The 15,311-nt window shown below is 42.9% G+C and overlaps 1 long non-coding RNA gene across 1 annotated transcript in view; it reads right to left on the bottom strand.

Annotated features, from left to right (window-relative positions):
• Positions 1-2,386: 2,386 nt before the first annotated feature.
• Positions 2,387-15,311, bottom strand: part of LOC124908062 (uncharacterized) — a 39,374-nt gene continuing 26,449 nt past the window's right edge. Inside the window, exons 4-6 of the long non-coding RNA XR_007088698.1 lie at positions 9,859-10,001; positions 7,227-7,461; positions 2,387-5,494 (exon numbers count right to left, since the gene is read on the bottom strand). This is a non-coding gene — a long non-coding RNA (uncharacterized LOC124908062). The remainder of the gene's footprint in view (positions 5,495-7,226; positions 7,462-9,858; positions 10,002-15,311) is intronic.

Genomic DNA, 15,311 nt, shown 5'->3' with positions numbered 1-15,311 from the left:
CTTGGGTGTTTCTCACGAGGGGGATTTGGCAGGGTCATAGGACACTAGTGGAGGGAAGGTCAGCAGACAAACAAGTGAACAAAGGTCTCTGGTTTTCCTAGGCAGAGTGTTTGTGTCCCTGGGTACTTGAGATTAGGGAGTGGTAATGACTCTTAACAAGCATGCTGCCTTCAAGCATCTGTTTAACAAAGCACATCTTGCACCGCCCTTAATCCATTTACCCCTGAGTGGACACAGCACATATTTCAGAGAGCACAGGGTTGGGGGTAAGGTCATAGATCAACAGGATCCCAAGGCAGAAGAATTTTTCTTAGTACAGAACAAAATGAAAAGTCTCCCATGTCTACTTCTTTCTACACAGACACGGCAACCATCCGATTTCTCAATCTTTTCCCCACCTTGCCCCCTTTTCTATTCCAGAAAACCGCCATCGTCATCATGGCCCATTCTCAATGAGCTGTTGGGTACACCTCCCAGACAGGGTGGTGGCCGGGCAGAGGGGCTCCTCACTTCCCAGTAGGGGCGGCCGGGCAGAGGCGCCCCTCAGCTCCCGGACCGGGTGGCTGGCCAGGCGGGGGGCTGACCCCCCCACCTCCCTCCCGGACGGGGTGGCTGGCCTGGCGGGGGGCTGACCCCCCCACCTCCCTCCCGGACGGGGCGGCTGGCCGGGCGTGGGGCTGACCCCCCCACCTCCCTCCCGGACGGGGCGGCTGGCCGGGAGGGGGCGCTGACCCCCCCCACCTCCCTCCCGGACGGAGCGGCTGGCCCAGCGGGGGGCTGAGCCCCCCACCTCCCTCCCGGACGGGGCGGCTGGCCGGGCAGAGGGGCTCCTCACTTCCCAGTAGGGCGGCCGGGCAGAGGCACCCCTCACCTCCCGGACGGGGCGGCTGGCCGGGCGGGGGGCTGACCCCCCCACCTCCCTCCCGGACGGGGCTGCTGGCCGGGTGGGGGGCTGACTCCCCCACCTCCCTCCCGGACGGGGCGGCTGGCCGGGCAGAGGGGCTCCTCACTTCCCAGTAGGGGCGGCCAGGCAGAGGCGCCCCTCACCTCCCGGACGGGGCGGCTGGCCGGGCGGGGGGCTGAGCCCCCCACCTCCCTCCCGGACGGGGCGGCTGGCTGGGCAGGGGGGCTGACCCCCCCACCTCCCTCCCGGACGGAGCGGCTGGCCGGGTGGGGGGCTGACCCCCCCACCTCCCTCCCGGACGGGGCGGCTGGCGGGGGGCTGAGCCCCCCACCTCCCTCCCGGACGGGGCGGCTGGCTGGGCAGGGGGGCTGACCCCCCCACCTCCCTCCCGGACGGAGCGGCTGGCCGGGCGGGGGGCTGACCCCCACCTCCCTCCCGGCCGGGGTGGCTGCCGGGCGGAGACGCTCCTCACTTCCCAGACGGGGTGGCAGCCAGGCGGAGGGGCTCCTCACTTCTCAGACGGGGCGGTTGCCAGGCGGAGGGTCTCCTCACTTCTCAGACGGGGCGGCCCGGCAGAGACGCTCCTCACCTCCCAGACGGGGCGGCGGGGCAGAGGCGCTCCCCACATCTCAGACGATGGGCTGCTGGGCAGAGACGCTCCTCACTTCCTAGATGGGATGGCGGCCGGGACGAGGCGCTCCTCACTTCCCAGGTGGGATGGCGGCCGGGCAGAGACGCTCCTCACTTTCCAGACTGGGCAGCCAGGCAGAGGGGCTCCTCACATCCCAGACGATGGGCAGCCAGGCAGAGACACTCCTCACTTCCCAGACGGGGTGGCGGCCGGGCAGAGGCTGCAATCTCCGCACTTTGGGGGGGCCAAGGCAGGCGGCTGGGAGGTGGAGGCCATAGCGAGCCGAGATCACGCCACTGCACTCCAGCCTGGGCACCATTGAGCACTGAGTGAATGAGACTCCGTCTGCAATCCCGGCACCTCGGGAGGCCGAGGCTGGCGGATCACTCGCGGCTAGGAGCTGGAGACCAGTCCGGCCAACACAGCGAAACCCCGTCCCCACCAAAAAAACACGAAAACCAGTCAGGCGTGGCGGCGCGCGCCTGCAATCGCAGGCACTCGGCAGGCTGAGGCAGGAGAATCAGGCAGGGAGGCTGCAGCGAGCCAAGATGGCAGCAGTACAGTCCAGCTTTGGCCCGGCTTGAGAGGGAGACCGTGGAAAGGAGAGGGAGAGGGAGACGGGAGAGGGAGAGGGAGACGGGAGAGGGAGAGGGAGACAGGGAGAGGGAGAGGGAGACGGGAGAGGGAGAGGGAGAGGGAGACGGGAGAGGGAGAGGGAGACGGGAGAGGGAGAGGGAGACGGGAGAGGGAGGATATAATTTATTTTCAATCAAGTTCCTAGGAAGAATTTGGTCTTTTTCTCACTAATTATACCATTTGTTCCAAACATCTGATTTCCAAGTTACAGAATAAATGATTCACAGTATGGATTTATTCCAACATAACTTGTTCTCAAACCACATTTGCTGACATCTCACTGAAATCTAATGATGTGGAAAGACATTTGTGTTATGCTATTAAATAAAATAACAATTTATCAAAAAGCTACATGGTGCTAAAATGTGCAAATACATACCTATAGCTATAGCTATCAATATGTCTCAAAGGAATTATAGTTTATTCACATTTTCTTTCCTTTTTGTTCATCTGTGTTATCTAATTTTTCCACAGTAAACACAACTTCCTATTATAGTATTTCTTTATTTTTTATTCATTTAATTTATGGTATATGACTTATGTGATATACCATAGCCTTAGTCAGGGTGATAAGAGATAAAGAAGGTGATAGTTAAGATTATCACACTTGATCGTATTTAAATACATTATTCTTAAATAAGCAGAGAGCAGCAAGACCTGTTAGACTTGGATTATACAAATTGGATGATACCAATATCATCGAAATTTCCAAAAAATACTGGAGTTAGACTTTTCATAAAAATTTTCAAGACCTGATTAAGTATTTCACCCTCTGCTCACCCAACAGCCAGGCTTCCTTGTCTCCTCCTACTCACTCAATACTACCCAATGCCCTTCTGGATGTATGCTGCATGACAACCAGCAGACAGCTGGGAGTATGTGAGACTCACCACATTTTCCACAACAAGGGCAAACCAAACTCAGAACACAGCCTCAAGGAGCTTAGAAAAGACAAGCCATGTTCACAATCCACCATAAATACCACATAAGAAAGTTTCTTAAAAGGACTAAACCATGGTGGTATAAAATTTGAAGGCCTTCTTCCTGTGTGTTTGATTCCATTGCCCCACCCTTCCCCCTTGAATGTCTTCCTCATCTCTTGTACCTTCAGTCTAGTCTTTGCTGACTCATGACCTCAATTGTGACACCTGCTCTAGTTATGTTTTGCTCTCTTCCTTCTTTCATATTGACAAATTTATCTTTGTCTGCTCTCAAACTCAATATACATCTTCACTGCTCCATTGTTTTACTCCTCCCCCACCTGGCTTGCAACTGCCCTCCCAAATTTAGGTGTCTACTTAGTGGGACAGCCAACAGTTTCTCTCTGTGCCAATGCACCACCCCAGAATCAAGCTAAGCCCCCTCCTTCTGAAGAGCCATTCAGGACCCCATCTCCTGCAGTAGCCTCCAGCTCTTCTGATTACTTTCCCCAAGGAAATGGCATACAGCAAAGCAGATAGAACAAGAAGTGTTGAGGGAAAGGTGGTAAGAAAGGAGTAAAGGTTGATAGCAACCAATTCTTTGTAGGCAGAGTCCGAGTTCTAAATGTGTATTAGATTGGGTTTGAGTCTATTTGACAGAGCTAAAAATATTGTATATTCATCATCTTTCTTCTCTGCCAATTTCAAGAGATGGCTTGATGGCTGCTCCCTTCTAGGCCCTTCCTTATGCTCACGCAGGGCACTTGGTAAAGAGAAAAGAGCCAAGAGGGCAGAGAGCTGCAGACCAAGGAATGGAATAGAACAGGAAGGCTGGAGGAGGAGCAGGGGAGGGCAGGCAAATCTGGGAGAAGGTGTGGTTTGGATGGACTGCCTTGGAAAGAGAATAGAAAGTTGAGAGGAGGGGCAGTATTGTAGCCATGTGAATAATGGGAACGTCATGTCTCCCTGCAACATAATTCCCTTTGCCTTCTCTTAAAGTCTGCAGTAAAAACATAAAGGAATTTTAAAGACATTTTATAATGTAGTTGTGTTTCTTTTAAATTTGACAGAAGCAAGAAGATCGAGATCTATTTAGGTTTCAGTACGTGTGAGATGTCAGGGTTAGTGAGGAATGTGACAAGTGAGAGTAGGCAAAAAAGAAGGAAAAACAGCAAACTCATGGCACCAGTATGGCCAAACAGAATCTAGTCTTTCAGTTGCCAAAGCTTTAAAAATACTCTTTATTTGGGAGATATACCCCTATTTTTGCTAGACGCTTATGGCTTCCAATTTTTCCCCACTAACAAGAAATGTTCTACAGTGTCACACTAATCTATTTAAAAACCAGAGAAGCAGAGAACCGTGAAAAATCTGCACAAAAATCCCAAGCCCATGACGAAACAAACAGAAATGTGCATGCTGCTGTATCTAGGTCCTTTAAAAGCTGTCAAGGTTCATTATAAAATATTAAATGACTGAATAAATATTAGCACAAATTCTTTTTTCATTTCAATAGAGACTAAAAGGGCATCAGGAACTGTTTCACTGATGAGAATGACTCATTCTATCCTAAGTAAACTCCTATATAATCAAGTTCATTATATTTCTCTGTATTATCTGTTTGGAAAAAGTAAATCTGTTAATAGGCCATAAATCTAAATTCTAAAAATTAATGTTGTATATTAAAAATATTATATTTTAAAAAATAAATTTATTCTGGGATTAAGGAATTATGGAAATGCAAATAAGCCCAAGAGCAAGAAAGAGAGAAATCATTTTAAAAACTGATACCATGAGTCTTTTGGTTCATCTTACTCACCATAGAACCTTGTTCTATTTAACCCTAATTTTGCCCTGATCAGAGGCACTAGAGTTATGGTCTGGCTTAGCTGCACTTTTGCAGTATCATAAACCAAGAGTAATTCTCAATGTTAACAGGACACGTCCCATACACATGCAGCTGAAGTTTGCATCTCTCTGATTCATTAAGCTCATTTGTTACCAGATTTTAACTTCACAAGTCCAGAACTTTTAGTACATCTTGCCAAAGGAATTCATATGGACACCAATCTGCCCAGCAGTTCCTCTGCAGGCTATGTCTGCATAATACTCTCCGTTCACAGTAAAGCTTCACTCCGTAAGCTGAAGGTCTTCTGAATCATTATGAAGATGTGTCTGCTGCTTGACTTCTCCTTTAGGAACTTCTAGGAAAGCTTCATAATGCCCCATCATTTCCAAACAGAAATAAATGATAAGCCAAGAATACATACTCTCCAGTTTCCTAGGATTTCAGTATTATATAACCACTACGTCTTCCTAAATTCCTTCCAGACAGCCAGCTTTAATTCTTCCAGCAATCATCTCCTTCACTCAGTCACCATAACTTAGAATCTTCTACTAATCCTAGGAAATAGAGAAATATGGTCATGCCATATGTTTCTTTACTGGAAAAAAAATTTTGATGAAGTAATTCTATTTTCATTCTATTTTGCACAGGTGGCAGAAACCGTGATTGTATTTTTTTTTCTTTTTATGTGCCCTGTTAAGCCTTGGAAAACAAAGATAAAATCTGAGCTTCCTGCAAGTTTTACCTACTCAGCCACTTACTTTCCAGGATCCTTCATCATGAAAGCAATTGTATGGGGTAAGAGATTGGAGTTAGTGCAGGAAACAAGAAAAGATAAAACTAGAGCCTCACCAAGGGAACAGCCCCAGACCAGGTATATTGGGGGCAAGAGGAAGGCGTTAAAGATGAAATGGAGTTTAAAGACAAACAAGTTTTAGGTGCACAGTGACCATGCAATGCTCCAAAGCCAGGCGAGTATGATATAACCCATTAAATTTTCTCTTGCTTTGGTTGTTAGGAAGCCGAATATTATGCGTTTATTGTTTATTACCATAAATACCTCTGTGTGAACTCTGTTCCCAGGTATACAAGATGCATGGCAGTGGTGGTTGGAGAAAATTGCCATGGGATTGGCACATGGATTGGCACTGAGCACAGGGATATGAAACTTCATGCTCATGATTGCAATTCAGGAAGCCAAAGGGCAAAGGAAGTATTGTATGGGGTTTGTGATCTAAGTATTAAGAAACCAAAATGCAAATACTAATAAACATGGAACCAAAAAGACTTTATGTATGGAGCAGTGCAAAGCTGGTACAAGAGCTGTGAATCCTCAAGAATGCAACCTCTACTGTGAGTATGCTGGAAGAAATTAATGATGCTAAGGTGGAAAGTCCTCCATTTTGAGACACTTACTAATTTTCTGCTACCTTTCATGGGATTTTTTTTTATCATCTATGCCATGCTGTACCAGGAAGCAAAGAGAACTTTCATCCACACTGTTGACAACTTTTGTGCATGAAGTTGGCAACTTGCAGCACCTGGCAGCTCCTAGTGGCCCTGACACATTGAGCCCCTGCTGGTCCTTGCTCACGTACTATTTCAACAGTTTGTCTCTCCCAGCGACAACCTTCCTGGTGTTCCAAAAGCTCTCATTTTTTAATGTAATTTTTCAAAACTCTTTATTATCAGCCTTACCAAATAGTCAATATTTTCACATCAATAGTAGACTTGACTCTCTCTAGGTAAGTTTTCGGCTATTTTCCTCCCAACTGTTCATGTTTATGGACATCTATAGAGCTGTGTTTACAATCACCTTTAACCTAAAATCTCATGACTACTATTGGGCCCTACAGTAAATATTTACTGTCGATTAGGATATGGGATGCTCCAAGCCCAGAACTCAGAGGTTGTAAAGTCATGATCCGGACAGCACTATTTTGAACTGAATAAGGTTATTGATGATTAGTGCAATTACAATAATAATATCTGCATGACGTTTTATATCTTATGAAATACTTTTACGATACTTGTGTCTCTTGAGCTACGCAACTTACTAAGGTAGTGGAACACAAATTTGTATTAATTTCTATTTACAGGTGGGAGAAATTGAGGCCCTACAAGGTTAGATGACTTGCTCAGGATCAACAATTGTTAAATGTCAGAGCAGGGATTCAGAACCAGGACATATGACTCCAAGTCTAATATTCATTCCACCATGTATCACCGTGGCCTTTTCCTGTCTTGAGCCTACATTAGAATTGAAGTCTCAAACTAAAGGGCACTCACCATTTTGCTGGCATAACTGAGCAGCTGAATGTCACTCTTGAGGCTTTCAGTCTTGCATCTTTATAGTTGTTTCACAATTGCCTGGTCTTTACATCTCCTAAATGCCTTTCATATATATAATAAATGTCAGAGACAGTGGTTGGTCATTTTCATTTGACTTCTTAATGATTTGATGAAGAATGTACAAGTGGCCTGTGTATACTCGCTTCAGAGGTCAGCTTGAAGCAGCAAGTCACTGTAAAGATAAGCATTTAGCCATTATATTCATTCATTTTAGGCAAGGATGGTAGTTTATCATTTACTCCTCTTCTTTGGAGCTGATAAAGAGATGACTCCTTGGGCTTAATTATCATGAAAGAGGAAGATATTGTCCTCTTTATAGGAATCAGAGCTGTATGTCGCAAGGGCTGTGAATAAAGTACCTACTCCAGAAAGTCCGAACAGGTCCCTAAGACTATCTCCTTTTATGTGTATTTAAGACGACTGATTTGGGGCCACCCTTTGAGAAGGCTAGGATGAGGATACTTCATTTTACATCAGACTTGGGCACTCAGGGCTCATATTAACTCCAGCTTCTTCCAGTACAAAATGAAATGAAATATATTGACTAAACGCTGAACAGTTCTCTATTAACCCCCTCACTTTCATGCATGTCCTCATTCCTCCAAAGCATCTTTCCTCCAGACTAGATGACAGGGTATGTTTTTTAATACAAAGACTTCTTTCCAATTAAGAAAAGGAGGGGGGGCTAGGCTCCCACATGAAAATAATTGTAATTTTTGGAATTTTTATATCTGTTCAACAAGAAAATACAGAATAACAAAAGGCTTCTGTGAATTCAATACAGTGTTTAAAAAGACAATTTTGTGTCTTATTCACCATGATATTATCAACACACTTTTGAGAAAAAAAGTAGGTAGTATATTATGCAAGACATATTTATGTTTCGTCTACATATGGATTCACAACCATCCTCCCACCCATATCTCCTTCCTCCCTTGACTCACAAGTTGGAAATAACTGATCTAGATATTTTGCTTCTCAGACTATTCCATTTTCTGAGCAGTCTTCACAGCCCTTCTCTAGGTATAGAGGCCAAACTTTAGGACACACAGAGTGAAGGGCATCGCCTGGGCAGATGGAATAGTTTCAGGAGCTTTCATTCATCTCTTTAGCAAACACTTCAAGCACCTTGAAGTGCCAAGCTAGGACTAGGTGGAGGTGATTTCTGGGGACTTCTCTACCTACTGATGTCTGAAATTGCACTAGTCAGAACCACATTCCTTTGCTATAAAGTTTAGATTTCTCAACGTTCCAATTTCCCTGACAAAGGTAATAGTAAGTTGTTAGTTGTTTCTCAATTGTAGCTACACAATAAAATTACCTGGGAAACTTTGAAAAGACTAGCAGTGTCTGAGTCCCAACCCAAGCCAATTAAATTAGATCCTATGGAAAATGGGAACCCACACACTGTTTTTTTGTACTGCTTTGTTTTGTCTTTAAGTTTCCAGATGATCTAATGGGTTTCTGAGTGAGAACGTCTTGTTTCTCAAAGTCTCTAAAGGACTTAAAGGAGGAGAAAGGTAACAAGGAGAATGTGGGGAAAGCCTGTAAATATGAACGGGCCCTGGAACTTGGATCAGTAGAGCAGGGTAGAGGAGGAAATCGTGAAGGCAAATTTCTTCAATCTCATATCTACACCCTCAACTTGTGGCCCCTCCCTAAACTGAACATTTCACTTAGGATATTTTCATCCAAACACTTTTCCTTTGGTTGAACGTCATTTCCTCATTCATTCAATACTTATGTGTGTTGGATACCTGATATTGAGTATCAAACATTAGGCAAAGTTGTCCTCTCATAGAATTTACATTCTAAGTGGAGAGAAAGACAATAAATTCACAATAAATTTTGCATCGGCTTTGTGCCTCTGCTGATTATTTCTTTTCTTCTGTTTGCTGCCAACTTCTAGGTACTTGGTATTACTCTGATCAGATGTCAATGTCTCTCATACTGGGTTTTTTCCATGTCTTCATGCATATGTATCATGCTGAGGTTTTTTAAAAGAGTATCTATAATTGCATTCCACGGATATATGCCTGAGATGACTAACTTCCATTCCACCCTTAAAAAATTGAAGAACTTTGGTTTCAAATGTCTCTGTTACGGGCAAAATGTGGAGTTAGGGTAGAATCTTAAGTCAGGGGACCTGAATTCAAATTCTGACCCTGTCTTACTAACCGTGTGACCTCAAACCAGTTACTTAATCTCCTCTTTAGGTCTTAGTCTTCTCATTTGTAAAATGAGGATAATAATATGAAAATCAAAGGTTTAAATGAGAAATAAACAATATATACAATCAACAGGGATCCACATAGAGCTCACACGTAAGACCAGTGGCCAAGATTGAACTGACCCTGTGACTAAGACCACACTTTCTAGGCTTTCTACTCCCAGCATCAAAAGTGAAGAAACCTCCTCCTCTTCACCAACAAACACACTCCTTCACCACTATTATCTGTCTTGATAACTGCCTCATGTTTTTATGTATCCCTATTTATGTCAGGCACCACAAAAACCCCTGACTTTCTCTCTTCTCACACACTCTGTCCCCTTAAAGCTCTATACATACCCTGTTCTGTCAGCTCCACCCTCCTTCCACTGGTTCTGAAGCTGACCCATTGGGCCTTCTGAAGTCCATAACCATTATTTGCGAAGCCCCCTTGTATCATCAATAGATTTGCTGCATAGAAATTTACTCCAAAGATTAGTGGCCTAAAACAAAAACAATCATGTATTATATAACATAGTTTTCACAATTGAAAATTAGGTAAAGCTTGGCTAGACAATTTGGGCATGGAGTCCCTCACGAGACAGCAGTCAGATGTCTGAGGGAGCTGGATTCATCTGAAGGCTTGACTGGGAATGAAGGCTCCACATCCAACATAGTTCACTCCCATGCTGGAAATTGGTGCTGATTGCTTTGGGGGAGGCAACTCTCCCTCTCCACTGGGACCTCTCTATAGGGCTGAGGGAGTGTCTTCATGACCTGCTAGCTGGATTCCCCAAGAGCCTGTGATCTAAGAGAGTAAGATGGAAGCTATAGAGCTTAATATGACCTTGTCTCAGAAACTACATGCCATCACTTCTGTAGTATTCTATTGGTCACACGGTCAGCTCTGATTCCATAAGGGAGGGAACCAAAAGAGGCTTAAATACCAGGAGAGGACAGTCATTGGGTATCATCTCAGTGGCTGGCTGCCACACCTCTATTTTCACAAACCATGATCTGAACATTCCCTTCACCTTTTTGCTCTCATCAAAACTTGACTTTTCCCTGAGAACACATTATCAGCCTCCCAAACTGGAGAGTGCCTTTCCTTTTGTAGCCCTCAGATCTTTGAGCCTGAAGATAGCTAGGTGTCATTCTTGCATCTCATTGCTTCCCTTCCTTCTCCCTCATCCCCCAAAATACCAGCTTTGAATCTCACATCATCAGATTATATCATGAACCAGTGATGCCTCTGCCATTCTCCTCATTTCTCTAGATTCTGGCTTCTGCTTAATGGTCATACTCACCAATACTATTCTGTCTTAATTCCTAGGGCTATGGACACACAGGTAAACCGTCATGCCCACACCCAGGCCTCTCAAATCCATGAATTTCTGTTCTCCATTGATCATGTCAACCATTCTACCACAGCCTCAAATCCCATGGTCATAGCCCAGCAATAAATGCAAAAATGCATTAGCAATAAAGGCAACATTTATTAATGTTAATTTCATGCATTGTACCCTCTGGCCACCATTTCCAGTCTTTTCTTTCTACTCTCTCTGCTATCCTATCCCCAGTTATCTTTCAAAGTCCCTGGGACCCCCAATCCATTGATCTACCATCATTCCACTGTCCCTCACTTCTTGATGTTATCATTCCCCTACTTATCAAGCTTAAATTCCATGGCCAATCTTTATGATTACTCCCATATATGCCTTTGCCTCATTTGTCTTCTTTGGATTTATTGTACTTACTTGGAAAACTGAAATTCTGGTTAAAATCCAACTCTGTGCCTATGTCAAACCTCCACTAAACAACTAAATATTACTGGAGAAAAACAGGCAATTATGCTTAATGAGCTCACTTCCAATTTATGAACAGATCTTAAAATGTGCTCTTAATGCTACCAGGATATCATACTTAATTTCCCAAGACCATTCACTTTCCCACTCTCCTGGACAACTTTTTTACACTTTCAATCTTCTAAAATACCCTAAACTTTTTTCTTGTCTTCATATTCCTACTTTACTGAAAAAATTAAAGCAATCAGAAGAGAACTCCATAGACTTCCACCACCATATTTATTCACCTACCAGCATCTTCATCCACATACTCTGTCTCCATATTTGTTACTATTCATGATGCTACCCAAAGCCAACTCCTCTTCTTGTACACTAAATCATACTAAATCCCTTCCCCTATAGTCTACTCAAGGACATCACCTATTCCAACATTTCTCACCTCTTTCTCTCATACCAATTTTTCGCTATTGGATCATTTTCATTCAAATACAAACAACATGTTGATATTACTCCCATCTTTAAAAAAAAAAGATAAAGAATAATTTCTACATATTCCACTTGCCCCACTAGCTACTGTTTCATTTCTCTCCTCCCTTTTGCACAAAAACTTCTCCAGAAAGCTATCTACAGCTGCTTTTTGTATTTTCTTTTCTGCCATTCCCCACTAAAACCAGTTCAATCAGATTTTTGATTCACTATTCCATTGAAACCACTGTGAACAATATGAATAGTATCCACCATGCTGCCAAATCCAATAGCCCAGTCCTTCCCTTGCTTGTCCTATCAGCAGCATTTGGCACAGTTGATCACTTTCTCCTCCTTGATACACTTTCTTCCCTTGGCTTCCACATTATCCTGTTTCTCTCCTATATCACCAGCTGCTCCTTTTTAATTTTCGTTGCTGGTTCTTCCTTTAACTCTTTTATGTTGCAGTGTCCCAGGGCTCAGTCTTTGATCCTGTTCTTTTCTATAACTACAATTACTCTTTGGTATCATAGCAGTATTGGGGCTTTCAGAACCAGTGATATGCTACTGACCTCTAAATTTACAAATCCAACTAGAAGTTGCTGATTTGTATGTCCTTGGATGTAAAATAAGCATCTCAAACACAGCATGCTAAAATCTGAATACTTAGTCTTACTGCCAAAACCTGCTCTACCCTCAGCCTTCTCTATTTCAGTGGATGGCAACTCCACATTTATCAGATGAAAAACCCTAGAGTCCTCTTTGACTTTGCTCTTTCTTTCACAGCCACATGTAATTCAACCACAAACCTTGCTGGCTGTTCTTTCAAATCTATGCAGAATCTGAATGCTTTTCACCACCTCTCTGCTGCCATGTGGTCTAAGCCAGCATCTCTCACCTGGCTACTGGAATAGTCTCTGAACAGTTCTCCCATTTCCACCCTTGCCCCTTTACAAATTAATCTGAACAAAGCATCCAGAATGATCTTTTTAAAACATGTATATCACTCTTCTGCTCAAAATCCCCTGCTTTCTCCCCCCATTCACACAGAATAAAAGACAATGGCTTACAAGACCTTACAGGCTGACAATACCATCTCACTCATCTCTCTGACCTCATCTCCAACTATTCTTTCCCTTAATCACTCAACTCCAGCCACACTGGTCCCCTCCTACTCCTGGAACATGGACCAAGCAGGCTCCAGTTTAGCCACTATGATTTATCTGTTCTCCACTCCTGGATGTGATTTCCAGCTTGGTTAACTCCCTCACCTTCTTTTCATGACTTTGCTCAAATGTCACCATAGCATGAAGTTTTTCCTTCACCACCTTTTTTATTACTGCAGTGACACACTGCAACAACACACCTGTACAAATACACACACACACAACACACACAACACACACACACGTAATGTCAATCTTTACTTACCGTATTTCATTTCTATTTTCTATGTCATTTATCTTCTTCTAAGATAATTGTTTATTTATTTATTCCTTTGCTGTCTACTCACCATCTTTCTTTTCCCTACCTCCCTATCCTATAATGCAATAGAAAAGCTCTTTAAGGGCAGGGATCTTTGTAATATTCATTGGCCAACTTCAAACCTACAAATTCATGTAACATGTGCAACAAATCAATAAACAATGTCCCCTTGGAATTTACAACCCACAGATTTCAGGTACAATTTCAGGCTGTATAGCTAATTAGAAGAGCTTGAACTCAGACATTCTGAATATAAATTCATTAATCTTTCCACTATATTGCTCTAACTTCGACAAGAACCTTTCTCAAACCCTTGAAACACCAATACTTATCGATTTTTTTCAAGTTAATAAAATAAAATATGTTATTTTAATTTGGTCATTGATTATTAGCACAGATAAACACTTTTTCATGATTCTTTGCTGAGTTAACTGTGAATTGATGGTGTACTTTGCACCTCCAACACTTCTGTTCTGTGGCTTAGAATCATTGCTTTCGTAGACCTCTTTACTTTCTCTTTACTACAATTAGCAACACTAGCAGATGATTTTCTTTTATAGCCCATTTTACACAAAGAAACAAAGTTTTTATCACTTCAGGAGCGCTAGTGTGCATGATAATGAGTGTAGAACAACATAGCCAAGTTAAAATTCAGAGACTGTTGCTGAACCCCTCCCCCTTACTTCTGTGAGTCATTCCAGACACATCAATATTGCAAAGCCTGCAACCGAAATTCATTCCTCAGCAAAATTGCAAATCATTACATGTTAAGTTGCTTGAAAATAGTCAAAACTGCAAATGTTTAAGCCTCAAATCCCAATAATCTACTGTAATTGGACTCAATCATTACAACAGACATCCATGAAGTAGGGGGTAGGACACAGATGAAGAAGAAAAATATATGGAAATCCAAATAACTAGGAGCTTAGCGCTTAGAGTTAGAACGTTTTCTGCTTTGGGCAACCCTCTACTCTTCCAGGTGGTGGCAGTAGGAAGGTAGTAAAAACAATGAAAACTGTGACAGCAAAAAAAAAAAAAAAAATTAAATTAAATTAAATATTATGACTATGACTCATAAATATAAAGTGTATCAAAATTTACATAACTTACCAATAAGGGAACCAGTAGGATGACAAAGCTCCAAAGAGTATTTGGAGAACTAAGCAGTTACAGAAATTGAAGGAACAATGTTGCAACAAGATTGCTAGGGTAGATCTATAATTGGTTGATATTTTACAGAGCAATAAAACCATAACCTTTCGGGTTATATTATTCTACTAAACAGAAATCATTTGCTTCTCTACCAGACAAAACTCTATGCATTAACATGTAATTTCACAGAACCTGGGCCCTAATCAATAATAAATCATCTGTTAAACAAAGGGTAATCTCCCAAAGAATTAAGTAATCCTGTTAGACAGTGTTGTAGTCTGACACAGAAAGGACACTCAGCCATCCCTTTGCCTTATTTCTAATTTGTTGATACTTTTTTTAAAGAATTAAAGTATAGGAGCCCTCTCTTTGAGTTGCCTTTGGAGAAACACACTATTCTATTACATTAGAAATGTGTCTGGTCTGTTTTGAAAGAAAAATTCCTCCTGGTTCCGAGCTCTAATAAGATCCCTTCATATCACAGCCTATTTTAGTAATAGAGTATTTTGTTTGAATAGCGTATTTCTCCTGTAAAATAAGAACACAATTAATAATTGAATGAATTCCCTATTTCAGTCTGATTTGTAAATTCTCTGCATTCAAAGAATTCCTCAACTGTATTTTAGAAATGGAAAGCACCTTAACAAGGGATCTTGAAATAAAACAATGTCCAAAGGTTAAGCAATTTGCCCAAGGTCACGTTGTGAGTCTGAGGCTAAGCTGATAGAGAAATTTGAAGTTAAAGCAGAAAAGCATAGGGGGCTACAACAGCTGGAGAAACTCCAGCTTCCTGCGGTTGGTCTATGGATACCCTTGATCTCATAACCCTCAAGTAATACTGTTGGGCCAGAATACAGGCTTTGCAGCAAGACCTCAGGTTTAAGGATTGTGAGGGACATTTTTGAC

This window comes from Homo sapiens, chromosome 2, assembly GCF_000001405.40.
Source record: "Homo sapiens chromosome 2, GRCh38.p14 Primary Assembly".
Lineage (NCBI taxonomy): Eukaryota > Metazoa > Chordata > Mammalia > Primates > Hominidae > Homo > Homo sapiens.
This window is presented reverse-complemented; position numbering and strand designations above follow the sequence as displayed.